This window comes from Homo sapiens, chromosome 4, assembly GCF_000001405.40.
Source record: "Homo sapiens chromosome 4, GRCh38.p14 Primary Assembly".
NCBI lineage: Eukaryota > Metazoa > Chordata > Mammalia > Primates > Hominidae > Homo > Homo sapiens.
The window spans coordinates 93,577,570-93,597,505 of NC_000004.12; the positions used below are offsets into that span (position 1 = coordinate 93,577,570).

General features: G+C 38.0%; 1 protein-coding gene across 17 annotated transcripts in view, besides 1 other annotated feature; it reads left to right on the forward strand.

Annotated features, from left to right (window-relative positions):
- Positions 1-19,936, forward strand: part of GRID2 (glutamate ionotropic receptor delta type subunit 2) — a 1,506,491-nt gene that overhangs the window by 1,273,604 nt on the left and 212,951 nt on the right. The window lies entirely within an intron of this gene.
- Positions 7,693-8,892: an enhancer, noted in NCBI's record as "BRD4-independent group 4 enhancer chr4:94506413-94507612 (GRCh37/hg19 assembly coordinates)". NCBI's record gives its function as "activates an origin of replication core promoter dependent on BRD2, P300/CBP, MED14 and CDK7 cofactors, and independent of BRD4, by STARR-seq in HCT116 cells {active_cell/tissue: HCT116}" and the evidence as "EXISTENCE:reporter gene assay evidence [ECO:0000049][PMID:35650434]".

The following is a 19,936-nucleotide window of genomic DNA, read 5'->3' on the forward strand; positions in this document are numbered from 1 at the left end:
AGATTACATATTTTGGTGCATATTTATTCATGGAACAAATGCTATGTGCCAGACCACAGGAGTTACTGGGAACAAAATGGTAGGGATAAAACTAGTCCTTGCCTTCATGGAGCTGAAAGTGAACATGAACCAAATGTTTCCCTCAAGTCTTCTGTACTCCCCTTTACAAAGTGAAATGGCACAGGCCTGAAGTGTTCTGTGCTTTATAAAGCGTGCAAGTAGTTTTGTCAGCTTTCTGGAAAAGGCCTAATATTATTAGGAAGCAAATTTGCATTTAATATCTACTTAACTCAGGTCATATTGTTTTCTGTTTTGACTTTAAAAAGAAAATGTGATGGGTAATAACAATAAAATGGGCACAATTATTTAGAAGAGGCGTGTTTGTGCCAAGAAAATTACAGAGGCAGAGTAAGATTTGCAAGGAGATGGCATTTTTCTCATAATTGCTCTCTGGATGTGTGTGCAGCAGGTTTCATTTGAGGGTGGCCACTGTTGAGAACTTCTTTCACAGCAAAGTGCTGCTACACCTAAAGTTTTATCTGCTCTTCCGTGGTTTCATCTTAGCTACCATAGCAACACTAACAGTGCTATTCCACCCTCCCATCAACATTCAGGAGAAGGCTTCTCTTGTCTGCACGGGATTGCGCTTACATCCACTTAGAGAGCATTCCCAATTCATCAGATGTATATCTTTTAGAAACGGTTTCCTGAGGAGAAAAATAGGTATTTTGAGAGATGGTTATGATATTTTTAGCCCACTGAGCAATTTTGATAGCCTTATCATAGACACAGATCCAGGTTCTGTGGGTTCTAAAGATTATACTGTTAAAAGTGGGGAGGGGTTGGGGATGGAAATACTGTTTTTTGAAAAGAATACAAATTTACAAATTCAAAATTAGATACAAAAATGAATATTTACTTAGGATGAGAAAAGCAATCACATCACATTACAAAGCTCGGAAAGCTGATATATAGGTATCACAAACTCCAGAAAAAGAACCTTGTCTTGTTTTTTGTATTTTTTTTTTTTTTTTTTTTTTTTGAGTTGGAGTCTCACTCTGTAGCCCAGGCTGGAGTGCAGTGGCTCGATCTTGGGTCACTGCAAGCTCCGCCTCCCAGGTTCACGCCATTCTCCTGCCTCAGCCTCCCAAGTAGCTGGGACTACAGGCGTCCGCCACCACGCCCAGCTAATTTTTTGTATTTTTAGTAGAGACAGGGTTTCACCATGTTAGTCAGGTTGGTCTCGATCTCCTGACCTCGTGATCTGCCCGCCTCGGCCTCCCAGAGTGCTGGGATTACAGGCGTGAGCCACCGCACCCGGCTGCCTTGCTTTCATTAACTGTCAGACATTCTTCCATAATAGTTTTTCCTATAATTTTATATCTGTATACTCATTGATTTCCTCTTTATGAAGGACTTCGTAGGAGCATTTCTGGAGAGCAATTAGAAAATGTCTTTCCACTAGCATAGTGATCCAAATCAATTTTTTTTTTATTCTTGACAGTCTGAAATAACTTCTTTCAGCTTCACAGCTCATTATTGGTTATGACATGTACATTTTTAGAATTGTTGCAAAATTTAGGAAATCCTCTATCAAGTTTATTTTGTATGTGAACTGTCAGATTTGGAAGAATATTTCACAGACTAGCTTTTGGCTCTGAACATTCCAAACCGTTTTTCTCCTCCACTACCCACACAGTTCCAGTGTCAAGCACCAGAGGACACGTTCATATCACAGTACAAAATCCAACTCTGGTACCTTTTGTCGGGAAGCTCAATATTGACAGCCCAATAGGTGATAGGAATATTCCAGTCCTGACAGCTGGTAACTGCAAAACTTTAGGTGATCTGCGGTCATTTCCACACAATTAACCATATAGGGAAATGACCCCAAATCACCTAAAGTTTTCCTTCCTAAACTTATTTAAAATATACCCAAGTGAAATTCCTCTTACCCTCATGCAAAAAAAATACTTAAGGCTATTCCATCGCCACCTGACCAATGGGAAGTATGATAGAGGGGTAGTTGGTGTTGAAAGAGACAGTGGTCTTGACTGATTGCAATTAAAGTATGTTAATTTTGCCAGACAACTGAGGGACACTGACCTTGAGCTCTAGGGGCTTCTCAGTGAGCCTGCATTTGTTTAGGATGCATTGAGGCAACGCTTGCCCACACCAATCTCCCTTAGCCTACATCTGGCCCTAAAGAGAGTCCACATGTCTAAGGTTTGCTTAACATTCCTCTCAGGCTTTCCAACTCCCTCTTGCTTTCGTTTTCTTTATCCCTGTCACTTCTTTATCCAACCAAAGACTGAGTGATCAGGAGGAAAATAAGACTGACTGGCAGAGAAGATGTGCATGCATCTGTCATTCGGATCATCTCCAATGCTCTGATCTATGTTCTTTGTTATTAAGGCTCTCCAAAAATTATTTTGAAGAATGGACTGAGTTTACATCTCTGATATTTCATCTGTATTCTGCCTTTTCATTTTTGTAGAAGGCACATAACAGATGTACAATTAATATAAAAAAGAATGAGTGCCAGTGACTTCAGTGAATATTGATGAAAACATTTCTTCTTTGGTGTGTAGGGGTGAGATTTTTCAGTGAAGTGCTGCCAGCATTTGCTCTGCACAGTCTCTAGAACTTCTAGAATGAGACATTATGCAGCCATATCAACAGATCAGTTGAACATGGAGAAGGTGATAGGAAGCTTTTGTTAAACTGTGACAGATGAACTATTATCTTATTCTTCCCCGTTTCCTACCATAAAAGTAGGCAAGTGGGGAGAGATACTGATGTGTTGATGCAATAGCACCCACTGACGCACAAAAATTGTTTCTTTCTGAATATTTCGAGAAAGAACTCCTGTGTTTTCAGGCTTGTAGTTCAGCCACATGTATCCATAATTGACTGCAGTATGGAATAAAACTTACAAGATAGCTATGAAAGTTGACTGTTTTGTCATCTAGAGACTTGATAACTGTTTTGTTGCACCAGGCATGAATGTTTTAGGCAGTTTTTTGTTTCGTATGTCATGATGCCATATTCTAAATGAGCATCACCACTTCCCTTGGCATATTTTTGAAACACTCTGCAAAGCATTACATGGTTAATTGTCAGAAAACTGTCACTGAGGAAAGTGGAAAGTGAGATCCTCTTCCCCAGTCCCTGGCAAAGAGCATTTTTTTTTTCTTTTTTTTGGTATTGGTAAGCGTTTAATATCCAGTTCTCAAAACAACCCCCCCCAGTAACCCCCATACCACAAAATAACAATAACCTGATGTATAGCATTTGCAAATTGTCATTATATATATATATACAATTTAACTTCTGGGATACATGTGCAGATTACAGTATTTGCAAATTGTCATTTTATATATATTATATATTTAATGTAAGTTCTGGGATACATGTGCAGAACATGCGGGTTTGTTATATAGGTATACACGTGCCATGGTGGTTTGCTGCACCCATCAACCCATCATCTGCATTAGGTATTTCTCCTCATGCTATCCCTCCCCTAGTCCCCCACCCCCCAACAGCCCCCCGTGTGTAGTGTTCCCCTCCCTGTGTCCATGTGTTCTCATTGTTCAACTCCCGCTTATGAGCAAGAACATGCATTGTTTGGTTTTCTCTTCTTGTGTTAGTTTAGATTTTTGGAATTTCCTGAGTGATAGAGGTGAAAGGAGAATATTTTCTTATTCATAAGTCTCACTGAAATGGGGCTTATTATAAATGGTTAATTATCCAAAAATCAAAGTGAAAAAAGTAGAAAGAGTTATTTGTAGAATAAAACAGAACTCAAGGTATATCCAGGGCCTCCATGTTCATCAATTAATCCCTAAACTACACAGCATTTATATCCGTAAATATGTTATAGTAAATCTGGAAATATAAAATATTTTAAATTGATAATGTTAGGGAAGCCAAGAGTCACAGAGTTAAGAGGGCTGCTCTGAACTGTTTTTGTTTTTGTTTCTGTCTTATAGCTTGTTTAAACTAGAAAGGACCAAATGCCGAACCTACTCATGTACAGATGAGAAAATTGATATCCAAGGAAATTAAGTAACTTACCCTAAACCTACAACCTGCTAGAGATAGTCAGGGCTAAATTCTATGTCTGCTAATTAACTCAGAACTCTTTCACTGAAATATCCTGCATATCTCTATCAGGATATCTCTATCCTGATGGAGAACTCTTTCTCTATCAATCCTGCATTATTGAATAATTTTATGTGATGTGACACTCAGTTTGCAAATTAGACTGAGCAGTACTTTGGATCCTCAGGAACTCCTGTTTTTAAAGAGATGCCATGTTCTCTTTTGTTCATTATCATTGAAGATAGAAATGTCAACTCTTAAAAACATAAGATTTTGTGGTTGAAATTTTTCCTTATATTTTATAGAAAGTCTCTGCATATTTTGTGCTCCATGTATTGATTTCCTGTTGCTCCTGTAACAAATTATTACAAACATGGCTTAAAACAACACAAATTTGCTATTTTATACTTCTCTGGGTCACATGTTCAAAATGGATCTTACTGGCTAAAATTAAGGTGTCAGCAGGTCTGTTTTCTTCCTGGAGGTTTTAGGAGAGAGCCCATTCCCTTGTCTTTTTCAGCTCCTACAAGTCACCTACATTTCTGAACTCAAAGCCTTTTCCTCCATTTTCAAAGCCAACAGCATCGTATCATCCAATCTCCCTCTGTCTCTGACCCTCCTGACTGTCTCTTAAAAGGACCCTTGTCCTTTAAGATTAGGCCCAACTGGATCATCCCAGATAATCTCCCCATCTGAAAATTCTCACCCTAATCATATTTGCAAAGTCTCTTTTGTCATCTATGGTATCATATGGACAGATTTTAGGGATTGGAAGGTAGACATATTGGAGTGGGATAAAGCATTATTCTGCCCACCACACTGCCCTCTTAACTTAAAAGAATTATTTTAACTTGTTTCTCACTAGACGTTGCTTTAGTTTTACAGTTTCTTCAGGTTTATCAGAAATAGAATGAGAAGTAGCGATCATCTCAGACATTTGCCTAAAATAAATATAATTTCTGACACTTACAAAATGTATTTATCTCTCTCATATTCCAGTTTAATAATGGAGACCTTACTTGTTATGTATTTGTGTTTTTTTTAATAATAAAATAAGGAGAAAAAAGAAACGGAATTGTGAGATTATATTTAGATTGGGGAAATAAATAATTCCTTAGGTTCTTTAAAGGGTGAGAGAACAAAGCCCCTTCAATAGAAACGATTTTGTATGACATTGTATTAATTTCCTAGGGCTGCCATAACAAGTCACCACAAGCTTCCTGGCTCAAAATAACAGAAATTTCTCTCAAAGTTCTGGAGGCTAGAAATTCGAAATCAAGGTGTTGGCAGGGCCACACTCTCTCTGAAGTCTCTAAGAAAGCATCCATCCTGTCCTGCCTCTTCCATCTTCTGGTGGCTCCAGGCATTCCTTGGCTTGTGGGAGCATCACTCCCATCTCTGCCTCCATCTTTACATCATGGTCGTCTCTACGTCTCCATGTGTCCTTTTCGGTCTCTCACAAATATACTTTCATTAAAGTTAGAATCATCCTAATCTTCATCCAGATCCTTAGTTATGTCTTCAAAAACCTATTTCCAAACAAGGTCACATTCTGAGGTTCAAGATGGACATGAATTTCGAGGGGGGCACTATTTAACTCGCTACAGGTATAATTATGTATGAAGGAATTATTCTTTATAATTAACTTTCTAGTTTGTGTTACACTTCTCTTTGCTTAAAAAATAAATAACAGCAAATCATTAGCTGCTTTCTTCTTCGGTGCTGTGGACGTTTTTTTCTGTTATTATTAATATTGATCCAGTTCTTGGGAATTTTCTCAATGCTAAATGATAATGAGAGGAAGAAAGATAACAATGATTCTCATTGAATGTTTTTTGCTATATTCTTGGCATAGTGCTGGATACTTTACAAACATCCAATCCCCATAACAATCCTGGCAAGTAGTTATATTATTATAGTACACATAAAAAACTGAAGTTCAAAAAGGCTCAGTAACTTGACCAGCATTATATACCTAGGAAGTGGCAGGGGTCAGAATCAGATATAACAAAATTTCTCTCTCTTCCAATTTTCCAGTATTCTCATCTTAGGGTCCATTCTGTCCAAGGCCGTTCCTCAGACACATCCATTCTCCTTCAGTTCTCACTTTTGAATTCACCTCCAAGCTTATACACTAGCAATTGACAACTAATACATAGCCTTCAAGCTTTTTGCAAACAAACTACAACAATAGCACAACAACAACTAGAACTTCAAAAGTTTGAAGAGTAGTGAAAAAAGAGAAAACAAACCAATGAACAAGACATCACTAAACAGTCCTATTGGATTTGGGAACCACAGGAAGCAGATGGAAAATGCTGAAACATTTCTCTAGAGTCATTGAAAAATGACCTCTATTAAATTGGAAAGAATTTTAGGGTTCCGGTCTTAGATCACAAATGAAATAAAAACAGTTTCATAAAGACACAACTGTTTCTGAGTAAAATATATCTAGAAGTTCCTTGACTTACTAAATGAATTTACCTTGGGAAAAAACATATTTCTTGAAAAATATTTTAAATAGAAGGGCTATCCCTCTAAAGGCTCTCTTATAACATAACTTTGAAAGTAAACATAAGCCAACAAACAAACTAGAAAGCAATATTGTCACTATATTGGTTAATAAATAAAACTGGGAAAAAATAATATGAACATTTTGAATACTGGTCCTTAAATAGGATAAGTATTTGAGGATGTTGACAGAATCAGTAAATACATTAACAATTCTTTTTGATAAACATTTAAGTAGAGCTTTTGAAAAAAATTTTCTTCCTTTCTTTATTATACTATCCCTCAATGGTTGAAAATGTTGTTTTTTGACATGAGGGATACTTCCTTTCTCTTATTGATTGAACTATTGTGTTCTAGTCTTAAATTTATTCTCTTTTTGTAAGAGGATACAATAAAAGTATGAGTCAAAGAATATATTGGGGATTTCAAAAAATTCATTAGAAATGGAATTTAACATAAGCTCTTAATATAAGCTCCATCAAGTTCAAGACATTTTTGTAAATGATGATACCATCCATTTGCTCCATTCCTAAAGAACTGAGGGTCCTGGGAATTTAACTATGTTTATGCTGTCTTTTCTGCATAATTAACTGAAGAAAATGGGTATCCTTTACAGATTTTTTTAAGATTAGGAAACAAAAATCAGTCAAAAGGAGCTAAATCAGGACTATAAAGTGGATGCCTAATGATTTCCCATCAAATGTCTCATAAAATTGCCCTTGATTGATGAGAGGAATGAGTAGGAGCATTGTCGTGGTGGAGAAGGACTCTCTGGTGAAGCTTTCCTGGATGTTTTTCTGCTAGAACTTTGGCTAACTTTCTCAAAACACTTTCATAATAAGCAGAGGTTATCATTCTTTGGCCCTCCAGAAAGTCAACAAGCAAAATACCTTGAGCATCCCAAAAAACTGTTACCTTGGCCTTTGCTATTACCAGTCCACTTTTGCTTTGCCTAGACCAAGTTCACCTCTTAGTAGCAATTTCTTTGATTGAGTTTATTTTCAGGATCATACTGGCAAACCTGTGTTTCACCTCCTGTTACGATTCTTCAAAGAAATCCCTCAGGATCTTGATCTCATTTGTTTAATATTTTCATTGAAAGCTCCGTTTTTGTCTGTGAGTGATCTGGGCACAATGATTTTGGCACCCAGCAAGTGGAAAGTTTGCTCAACTTTAATTTTGCAGTTAGAATTGTGTACGCTGAGTCAATTAAGATGTCTATGGTGTTGACTGTTGTTTCACTGGTCTTTTTCAATTAGGGCATCAACAAGATTAACTTTTTTTCCCACAAAGTGATGTGGATGGTCTGCTGCTGAGGGCTTCATCCCACAACATGGTCTCAACCCTTCTTAAAATGAGGTCCATTTGTAAACTGCTTTCTTGTGGGGCATTGTCCTCATAAAATTTGTGCAAAGCATTAATCATTTCATTATTCTTCCACCCCAGCTTCTCCATAAATTTGATGTTTGCTCTTGCCTCAATTTTAGGGGAGTTCATGTTGCTAATAGGGGCACCTTTCAAACTGGTATCTTATCCTTCTTCATGCTTCAAACTAGATCCTGCCCAGACATGTTATAACAAGTTAATACAAGTTATTTTGGTACAAAAAAAATGAAATCTATGCATAGTTTTTTCATAACACACATTTTCTATGAACTTTTTGAAGACTCTCTTGTACATGGCATATCCACCTTTAGTTACTGAATAAATAAATAAAAGATGCTCTTGCTTAAATTGTTCATGTGTGCTAGAACTTTATCCCGAGCCCTTCATTCTCATGTTTTGCACTTTCCTGTGGTGATTTTACATAAACCCATGAGTTTGTTAATATCTGTTAAATTGATGACAGCCAAACCTATGGCTCCAGCAGAGATTCTACTCCTGAGTGTCTGACCTCTATATCCAAGCACATTTTATGCTTGACTACTTAAACTACTTGAGTGATCCTAGAGATCTTAATTTCCACATATTCCAAACTAATCATATCATCCTTTGCCCAAAACCTGGCATTTCTGCAGATGTACCACCACCCGTATCATTCAACCAGTTCAGACATCTGGGGTCACCAGATGTTTCCCTCATACTCAGGACTTATCTGGCCACCAAATCTGGAGATACCTGTCTCCTAAACTTTTCTCATATCCTTCACCTTATCTCCAATTCTTCTGCTCACCTACATTACAGTAAGACCTAATCTGTCTCTATCCCTAGATTCTTGACTCCATTCAAATGAGTACCCCTCTGCCATTAAGTAGTTTTATAAATCCTTAAATAGCTTGCCCTAGCTTTCAGCCTAAGATCAATAATAATGGTGATTGCCATTTTTGTGCCTATTATATGTGAAACACTATTCTAGACACTTGACATACATATATTTGCATTAGCTCTCATCTGATATCAGTCTGGTAAGATAGATATTACCCTAATTTTATAAATGAAGAAACTGAATGTCAGAAAGCTTAGATGATTTACTCAAGACTACTGAGCCAGTTCATGATGGAGCTAGGGTTCAATCCTAGGATGATGGTCTGGATGCAAAACCTTCTGTTCCACTGGACCTGTTGCTGAATTGAAACTTGTAAGATCAGGACACAAAGGCTGTTGATGATCTGGAATGCTCAGATGCTGATCTTCCCTAGCATGGGCAGTTGCTTCAGTAATACCAAAGTATTACCTTCTCTTTCTTCTCTCTTTTTTAACCTCATACATATGTACCCTTTTAAAAAATTCATGGAAGAATACATTCAGGTTGTTAAAAAATTCAAATAAAGTGAAAGTAATTAGAATAAATTATACATCCTCCACACAGCCCCAATCTCCTCCCAAGAGAGCTAATCACTTTCAGACACTGATGTTGACTGAATTCATTTAATCTAAAGACTTAGATCTCTTCTCCTCTATGAAGTTTCTTTCTGTCTATCATTTCTCTTTATTCCCTCTGTTCTCTGCCTCTGAAACTTCTACCCAGCATTCTTTGTGCCACAGACTGCTCGAGACACTGAGCACAGCCTATATAACTATATTTAAAATTGTATAAAATTAGATGCACAGGATTACAAAGGAAACCAATTTTATTAAAATGCAGTTATCTAAATATTAAAAAGTATAATATAGGAATACAATTATGAATGCATCAATAACAAAATCTAGCAACGTATTTGATAGATATGTTAATTCTGCACTACTGATGAGCACAGATTGTATTTTGAGATACTTGCAGCAATAATACTATCATGAAAATACCTGTAATTTTTGCTGATAGCAAAGTGACATGTACTGCTAATACTACTGTGATTTTTGCCTACATCCATATTTGGGGGAGTTATTAAATTTTAGTTAGAGTATATTTTAAAACATGTAATTTCTTTTTTCTATCCAAAGGCTCCTTGAAATCTATCCATGGCCTCATTTTAGTATTACTGAGCTTTTAGGATTTCCACTATCTTCAATATTTCTTGTACTTTCTCTAATATTTTCTAGTCTTTTACACTGTGTTCTAAGGTTAACTTTCTATTTAGATATTTTACTCCAATGGTAAAGAAAATTTATTATATTACATTATAATCATTGTTTTCTACCTAGCCCTGTTATAATTTTATGAGTAAATTACATATAAATGCATTCAATCACTCAAAGAAAAGCTTCCAAAGGAAAGAGAAATTGAAGTAAGGTTGATGTGGATTTCTTGAAAGGAATAATTAAGAAACATTTTGCATATTATTAAAAGCGGTTATCAGATAATCATTCTTTCTGCAAAATTAGATAAACCCAGGGATGATCCAAGAATCCAGAGATAATAATCCTATATTAACCTTTGCTGTTACTTTATGGTTAGTCTAGAAACAATGCAGTGGTCTTTCAATTTGGAAATGAAAATGTTAACATGTAAGGTAGTATGAAAATACCTTCATGAAAAGTATGAACAAATAAAAAATATGGTCAAGAACTTGTAAAGTTGTACTTACATGTTATATGGTAAATTTTAAGAGGTGATTTTTCCAAATAGAAACTACCACCTAAAGAATATAAAAAGAAGAAAGGGGGAGGGAAGGAGGGAGAGACAGACATTATTTTTAAATGAATAAGCTAAAGAACATTTATAAAACAATCAAAATTTTTTTTGCAGTTGGAATAATAGGTTTTTTATACACATTCATTATGTTGTAAATGTTTTCCTCTCCATTAATTTACATTAATGTCATACAGGACTACAAAAAATTAGGGTTCAGAGTTATAGATAACCTATAAGCCAATGCAAACAGTCGATCACCAGTGTTTCTGTAAGAATGAGGATGGTTTATTATTTACATCCTTTTACTTTGCAGTAACTATTCAAGGGAGAAGGCAAACAGAAAATGCATCAAATCTCAGTATTATTGTCTATGTTTTTCTGTTGCCATCAGCTAATGCTCTCATTCTGATTCATACCCACCCAGCTTCTCCACTGAAGTCAATGAGAAACTTCCTTTAAAGGCTGCAGAGTCACACTCACAATTGCCTACAGCAGATGGGTAAACTAAGTCTGAGCCCTGCCCCTTCTCCCAGTACTGGTCCCCTGAAGGCCAAGGCCTGAGAAATGTTTAAAAATACTTGCATTCCCTGACAACAAGATAAATTTGTAATGTGGATTTTTTTTATTTCTCTGAACAAATCAGAACATTTGACAACACTGGACCTGCTTTCCAGCTATACAACAAGCAGCAGGTTCCTGATTTTGCCATTTTGCCCCATCAAGTTCAATGGGGCATGAACTCTCCAGCAGGTTCATCATATACATTATACCCAGAATGAAGTCCTAGCTTTTCAGCGTAGAATTCAACAACGTTCATGATTCTGCACTCCCCTGCTTTTTTTTTTATTATTTATTTATTTTATTATTATTATACTTTAAGTTTTAGGGTACATGGGCACATTGTGCAGGTTAGTTACATACGTATACGTGTGCCATGCTGGTGTGCTGCACGCACTAACTCGTCATCTAGCATTAGGTATATCTCCCAATGCTATCCCTCCCCCCTCCCCCCACCCCACAACAGTCCCCAGTGTGTGATGTTCCCTTTCCTGTGTCCATGTGATCTCACTGTTCAATTCCCACCTATGAGTGAGAATATGTGGTGTTTGGTTTTTTTGTTCTTGCGATAGTTTACTGAGAATGATGGTTTCCAATTTCATCCATGTCCCTACAAAGGACATGAACTCATCATTTTTTATGGCTGCATAGTATTCCATGGTGTATATGTGCCACATTTTCTTAATCTAGTCTATCATTGTTGGACATTTGGGTTGGTTCCAAGTCTTTGCTATTGTGAATAATGCCGCAATAAACATACATCTGCATGTATCTTTATAGCAGCATGATTTATAGTCATTTGGGTATATACCCAGTAATGGGATGGCTGGGTCAAATGGTATTTCTAGTTCTAGATCCCTGAGGAATCGCCACACTGACTTCCACAATGGTTGAACTAGTTGACAGTCCCACCAACAGTGTAAAAGTGTTCCTATTTCTCCACATCCTCTCCAGCACCTGTCGTTTCCTGACTTTTTAATGATTGCCATTCTAACTGGTGTGAGATGGTATCTCCTTGTGGTTTTGATTTGCATTTCTCTGATGGCCAGTGATGGTGAGCATTTTTTCATGTGTTTTTTGGCTGCATAAATGTCTTCTTTTGAGAAGTGTCTGTTCATGTCCTTTGCCCACTTGTTGATGGGGTTGTTTGTTTTGTTCTTGTAAATTTGTTTGAGTTCATTGTAGATTCTGGATATTAGCCCTTTGTCAGATGAGTAGGTTGTGAAAATTTTCTCCCATTTTGTAGGTTGCCTGTTCACTCTGATGGTAGTTTCTTTTGCTGTGCAGAAGCTCTTTAGTTTAATTAGATCCCATTTGTCAGTTTTGTCTTTTGTTGTCATTGCTTTTGGTGTTTTAGACATGAAGTCCTTGCCCATGCCTATGTCCTGAATGGTAATGCCTAGGTTTTCTTCTAGGGTTTTTATGGTTTTAGGTCTAACGTTTTAAGTCTTTAATCCATCTTGAACTGATTTTTGTATAAGGCGTAAGGAAGGGATCCAGTTTCAGCTTTCTACATATGGCTAGCCAGTTTTCCCAGCACCATTTATTAAATAGGGAATCCTTTCCCCATTTCTTGTTTTTGTCAGGTTTGTCAAAGATCAGATAGTTGTAGATAGGTGGCGTTATTTCTGAGGGCTCTGTTCTGTTCCATTGATCTATATCTCTGTTTTGGTATCAGTACCATGCTGTTTTGGTTACTGTAGCCTTGTAGTATAGTTTGAAGTCAGGTAGTGTGATGCCTCCAGCTTTGTTCTTTTGGCTTAGGATTGACTTGGCGATGCGGGCTCTTTTTTGGTTCCATATGAACTTTAAAGTAGTTTTTTCCAATTCTCTGAAGAAAGGCATTGGTAGCTTGATGGGGATAGCATTGAATCTGTAAATTACCTTGGGCAGTATGGCCATTTTCACGATATTGATTCTTCCTACCCATGAGCATGGAATGTTCTTCCATTTGTATGTATCCTCTTTTATTTCCGTGAGCAGCGGTTTGTAGTTCTCCTTGAAGAGGTCCTTCACATCCCTTGTAAGTTGGATTCCTAGGTATTTTATTCTCTTTGAAGCAATTGTGAATGGGAGTTCACTCATGATTTGGCTCTCTGTTTGTCTGTTGTTGGTGTATAGGAATGCTTGTGATTTTTGCACATTGATTTTGTATCCTGAGACTTTGCTGAAGTTGCTTATCAGCTTAAGGAGATTTTGGGCTGAGACGATGGGGTTTTCTAGATATACAATCATGTCATCTGCAAACAGGGACAATTGGACTTCCTCTTTTCCTAATTGAATACCCTTTATTTCCTTCTCCTGCCTAATTGCCCTGGCCAGAACTTCCAACACTATGTTGAATAGGAGTGGTGAGAGAGGGCATCCCTGTCTTGTGCCAGTTTTCAAAGGGAATGCTTCCAGTTTTTGCCCATTCAGTATGATATTGGCTGTGGGTTTGTCATAGATAGCTCTTATTATTTTGAAATATGTCCCATCAATACCTAATTTATTGAGAGTTTTTAGCATGAAAAGTTGTTGAATTTTGTCAAAGGCCTTTTCTGCATCTATTGATATAATCATGTGGTTTTTGTCTTTGGCTCTGTTTATATGCTGGATTACATTTATTGATTTGCGTATATTGAACCAGCCTTGCATCCCAGGGATGAAGCCCACTTGACCATGGTGGATAAGCTTTTTGATGTGCTGCTGGATTCGGTTTGCCAGTATTTTATTGAGGATTTTTGCATCAATGTTCATCAGGGATATGGGTCTAAAATTCTCTTTTTTGGTTCTGTCTCTGCCGGGCTTTGGTATCAGAATGATGCTGGCCTCATAAAATGAGTTAGGGAGGATTCCCTCTTTTTCTATTTATTGGAATAGTTTCAGAAGGAATGGTACCAGTTCCTCCTTGTACCTCTGGTAGAATTCGGCTGTGAATCCATCTGGTCCTGGACTCTTTTTGGTTGGTAAGGTATTGATTATTGCCACAATTTCAGATCCTGTTATTGGTGTATTCAGAGATTCAACTTCTTCCTGGCTTAGTCTTGGGAGAGTGTATGTGTCGAGGAATTTATCCATTTCTTCTAGATTTTTTAGTTTATTTGCGTAGAGGTGTTTATAGTATTCTCTGATGGTAGTTTGTATTTCTGTGGGATCGGTGGTGATATCCCCTTTATCATTTTTTATTGCGTCTATTTGATTCTTTTCTCTTTTTTTCTTTATTAGTCTTGCTAGTGCTCTATCAATTTTGTTGATCCTTTCAAAAAACCAGCTCCTGGATTCATTAATTTTTTGAAGGGTATTTTGTGTCTCTATTTCCTTCAGTTCTGCTCTGATTTTAGTTATTTCTTGCCTTCTGCTACCTTTTGAATTTGTTTCCTCTTGCTTTTCTAGTTCTTTTAATTGTGATGTTAGGGTGTCAATTTTAGATCTTTCCGGCTTTCTCTTGTGGGCATTTAGTGCTATAAATTTCCCTCTACACACTGCTTTGAATGCATCCCAGAGATTCTGGTATGTTGTGTCTTTGTTCTCGTTGGTTTCAAAGAACATCTTTATTTCTGCCTTCATTTCGTTATGTACCCAGTAGTCATTCAGGAGGAGGTTGTTCAGTTTCCATGTAGATGAGCGATTTTGAGTGAGATTCTTAATCCTGAGTTCTAATTTGATTGCACTGTGGTCTGAGAGGTAGTTTGTTATAATTTCTGTTCTTTTACATTTGCTGAGGAGTGCTTTACTTCCAAGTATGTGGTCAATTTTGGAATAGGTGTGGTGTGGTGCTGAAAAAAATGTATATTCTGTTGATTTGGGGTGGAGAGTTCTGTAGATGTCTATTAGGTCTGCTTGGTGCAGAGCTGAGTTCAATTCCTCGGTATCCTTGTTGACTTTCTGTCTCGTTGATCTGTCTAATGTTGACAGTGGGGTGTTAAAGTCTCCCACTATTAATGTGTGGGAGTCTAAGTCTCTTTGTAGGTCACTCAGGACTTGCTTTATGAATCTGGGTGCTCATGTATTGGGTGCATACATATTTAGGACAGTTAGCTCTTCTTGTTGAATTGATGCCTTTACCATTATGTAATGGCCTTCTTTGTCTCTTTTGATCTTTGTTGGCTTAAAGTCTGTTTCATCAGAGACTAGGATTGCAACCCCTGCCTTTTTTTGTTTTCCATTTGCTTGGTAGATCTTCCTCCATCCTTTTATTTTGAGCCTATGTGTGTCTCTGCACGTGAGATGGGTTTCCTGAATACAGCACACTGATGGGTCTTGACTCTTTATCCAATTTGCCAGTCTGTGTCTTTTAATTGGAGAATTTAGTCCATTTACATTTAAAGTTAATAGTGTTATGTGTGAATTTGATCCTGTCATTATGATGTTAGCTGGTTATTTTGCTTGTTAGTTGCAGTTTCTTCCTAGTCTCGATGGGCTTTACATTTTGGCATGATTTTGCAGCAGCTGGTACCGGTTGTTCCTTTCCATGTTTAGCGCTTCCTTCAGGAGCTCTTTTAGGGCAGGCCTGGTGGTGACAAAATCTTTCAGCATTTGCTTGTCTGTAAAGTATTTTATTTCTCCTTCACTTATGAAGCTTAGTTTGGCTGGATATGAAATTCTGGGTTGAAAATTCTTTTCTTTAAGAATGTTGAATATTGGCCCCCACTCTCTTCTGGCTTGTAGGGTTTCTGCCGAGAGATCCGCTGTTAGTCTGATGGGCTTCCCTTTGAGGGTAACCCGACCTTTCTCTCTGGCTGCCCTTAACATTTTTTCCTTCATTTCAACTTTGGTGAATCTGACAATTATGTGTCTTGGAGTTGCTCTTCTCGAGGAGTATCTTTGTGGCGTTCTCTGTATTTCCTGAATCTGAACGTTGGCCTGCCTTGCTAGATTGGGGAAATTCTCCAGGATAATATCCTGCAGAGTGTTTTCCAACTTGGTTCCATTCTCCCCATCACTTTCAGGTACACCAATCAGACGTAGATTTGGTCTTTTCACATAGTCCCATATTTCCTGGAGGCTTTGCTCGTTTCTTTTTATTGTTTTTTCTCTAAACTTTCCTTCTCGCTTCATTTCATTTATTTCATCTTCCATTGCTGATACCCTTTCTTCCAGTTGATCGCATCGGCTCCTGAGGCTTCTGCATTCTTCACGTAGTTCTCGAGCCTTGGTTTTCAGGTCCATCAGCTCCTTTAAGCACTTCTCTGTATTGGTTATTCTAGTTATACATTCTTCTAAATTTTTTTCAAAGTTTTCAACTTCTTTGCCTTTGGTTTGAATGTCCTCCCGTAGCTCAGAGTAATTTGATCGTCTGAAGCCTTCTTCTCTCAGCTCGTCAAAGTCGTTCTCCGTCCAGCTTTGTTCCGTTGCTGGTGAGGAGCTGCATTCCTTTGGAGGAGGAGAGGCACTCTGCTTTTTAGAGTTTCCAGTTTTTCTGTTCTGTCTTTTCCCCATCTTTGTGGTTTTATCTACTTTTGGTCTTTGGTATGGTGATGTACAGATGGGTTTTTGGTGTGGATGTCCTTTCTGTTTGTTAGTTTTCCTTCTAACACACAGGACCCTCAGCTGCAGGTCTGTTGGAGTACCCTGCAGTGTGAGGTGTCAGTGTGCCCCTGCTGGAGGGTGCCTCCCAGTTAGGCTGCTCGGGGGTCAGGGGTCAGGGACCCACTTGAGGAGGCAGTCCGCCCATTCTCAGATCTCCAGCTGCGTACTGGGAGAACCACTGCTCTCTTCAAAGCTGTCAGACAGGGACATTTAAGTCTGCAGAGGTTACTGCTGTCTTTTTGTTTGTCTGTGCCCTGCCCCCAGAGGTGGAGCCTACAGAGGCAGGCAGGCCTCCTTGAGCTGTGGTGGGCTCCACCCAGTTCGAGCTTCCAGGCTGCTTTGTTTACCTAAGCAAGCCTGGGCAATGGCGGGCGCCCCTCCCCCAGCCTCGCTGCCACCTTGCAGCTTGATCTCAGACTGCTGTGCTAGCAATCAATGAGACTCCGTGGGGTAGGACCCTCTGAGCCAGGTGCGGGATATAATCTCGTGGTGCGCCGTTTTTTAAGCCCGTCGGAAAAGCGCAGTATTCGGGTGGGAGTGACCCGATTTTCCAGGTGCCGTCCATCACCCCTTTCTTTGATTAGGAAAGGGAACTCCCTGACCCCTTGCGCTTCCCGAGTGAGGCAATGCCTCGCCCTGCTTCGGCTCATGCACGGTGCACGCACCCACTGACCTGCACCCACTGTCTGGCACTCCCTAGTGAGATGAACCCGGTACCTCAGATGGAAATGCAGAAATCACCCATCTTCTGCATCGCTCAGGCTGGGAGCTGTAGACCAGAGCTGTTCCTATTCAGCCATCTTGGCTCCTCCCTCCACTCCCCTGCTTTTTAAGACATGCTGCCTGCTCTCCTCAAACAATGGTGACCTCCAGGCCTCTATCTTGTAGGATCCAACTTGGCTTTCATCTTTTTAGGAAGCCTCCTGTAATATCCCTTTCTTCAATGTCGATTGTTCATGAAATTCCTTAGCATTTAGTTGTGGCCTCTCTTATGACACCTTATCGTGGGTACATTGAGATTTAATTTTATTAGTATTTAACATTTCATAATTGTGTGTGTATGCCTTCTTTTCATGCATTACATAATCTTTTCACAACTAGACCAAGTTCTGATATCTGTTATTAGGAGCCAAACCCAGCCCTGTATTTACTTGCTGTGGGAACTTGGGCAAATTATTGATCCCCTCTAATCTTCACTCAGTCCCAATATTTGTAAAATGGGAATAATACCTACTCATGAAGTTATTGTAAAACTTAATGAAACACTGCATGAAAAGCATTTTGCTCAGTGTCAGGGATGCAGTAAGAACTCAGTAAAAATGTTTGTGTTATAATTTCTCTACCATTGTCACTCTCTTGAGAGCTATTAAATGACTTATCCCTGATTTCTTCTTACCTATAGGCCTTTTATTGCCCTAGAAGTTTGCACAACTAACTTTCCACAATTCTTCCTGGTAATAATATTACCGTGAAAATATTCTTCCAATATTTTAAGATTCCCTCATCATTATATTACTTTAATTTCTGTGTAAAGATCATATAGAATACAAATAAAATGAGATCGTTATTTGCTCTTCAGGTACCACATTAATAACAATTTCTACCTACCATGTATTGATCGCCTATTATGTGGCAGGCACTGTGCTAGATATTTATTTTTCTTGCCTTGTCGCTAGTGTTCAAAACTCCACAAGGAAAGTATTTTGACACGAATTTTATGGCTGAGAAAACTGAGGTCCCGAGTAGTTAAGTAAATTATTTGTTTATTCTACATCTGTGTGGCAGAACTGGGTTCGAAATGAGATCTATATGTAAAGGCTATGCACTTTTTGCTAATTTCCTATTGCCTTGTGTTTATTATCTAGTTCACTATTGAGCCATTCAGATACAAATTAGCCCTAGTAAACCTTTGTAATTTCTAGAAATATTGCAATTGTATATGTTTAATGTACAATAAATTCTTCTTAGGCTATCGCTAATAATATTTCTAATACCCCAATATGGCTTTCTTAGAAAATAAAGGCTACTTGAGGGCTGGGTGCGGTGGCTCACGCCTGCAGTCCCAGCACTTTGGGAGGCCGAGGAGGGCGATCACGAGGTCAGAAGATCAAAACCATCCTGGCTAACACGGTGAAACCCTGTCTCTACTACAAATACAAAAAATTAGCTGGGCATGGTGGCAGGCGCCTGTAGTCCCAGCTACTCGGGAGGCTGAGGCAGAAGAATGCGGTGAACTCGGGAGGCGGAGCATGCGGTGAGCCGAGATCGCGTCACTGCACTCCAGCCTGGGCGACAGAGTGAGACTCGGTCTTAAAAAAAAAAGAAAAAGAAAAAAAGAAAAGAAAGGCTACTTGAGAATGACCAAGTTATTATATTAAGACTTTTTCCAGATGCAAGTAAAAATTACGTTACATTGTTTTGTGTTGTAGCATTAACAATGCTCAATGTTTTGATTAATAAGTGTCTGATTTGATATATCAGTTGGATATTACTTGTGAAAACACGATCTGTCTCATTGTTGGATATTGGTTTTTGATAGATCAGATTTAATGTATTACATGGACATTTATGAGGTTCTTCTACATACAATATAATTGATTTAATACGGATCTGGTTTATGGCTGGTGTATTTAATTTCAAAATATATCTGGCTTAATACTTAATGTATTTGTTTTGATATTCGGCATTTTGATGCAATGTTCAAGTGTATGATTTGATAAGAAATATATTGCTCATGGGCATGAAGAAAATTGTAAAAGAAAATTATCAGTAGACAGTGAACAGATGTGTAATTATGCAGAAATAATCACATTTTTAGAGCAGAAATCTAAAGTGAAAATATGTTTCAAAAAGATGTGTTAGTTTTGTTTAGGTAAACATTGGATTCTCAGCTTCATTCAATTAAACAAACAATAACAACAAACAATAAGCATATAAGACCTCCCAAAGTCAGCTATTTTTTTAACAAATTGAAAATTAATTTACTTTGTTGAGTCTTTCCTCATGTGATAGTAACTATTTTATATATTTTGATAAGCTGTTACTTGAAGTAAATATATTTCTACTTGTAGTTTTTATGTGTTTCTGTTTTGAAAATCTACAGCTCCGAAACATCATGATGAATGTTTTACAGTCTTCTAGTTCACAGGGAAACAGAATGCAAGAGACTTACCAGCTTCTCCTAGGATGCGTTAGGAGTCAGTATACTTTTTAGTTTATGTATGAGATTGTTTTGCCTGA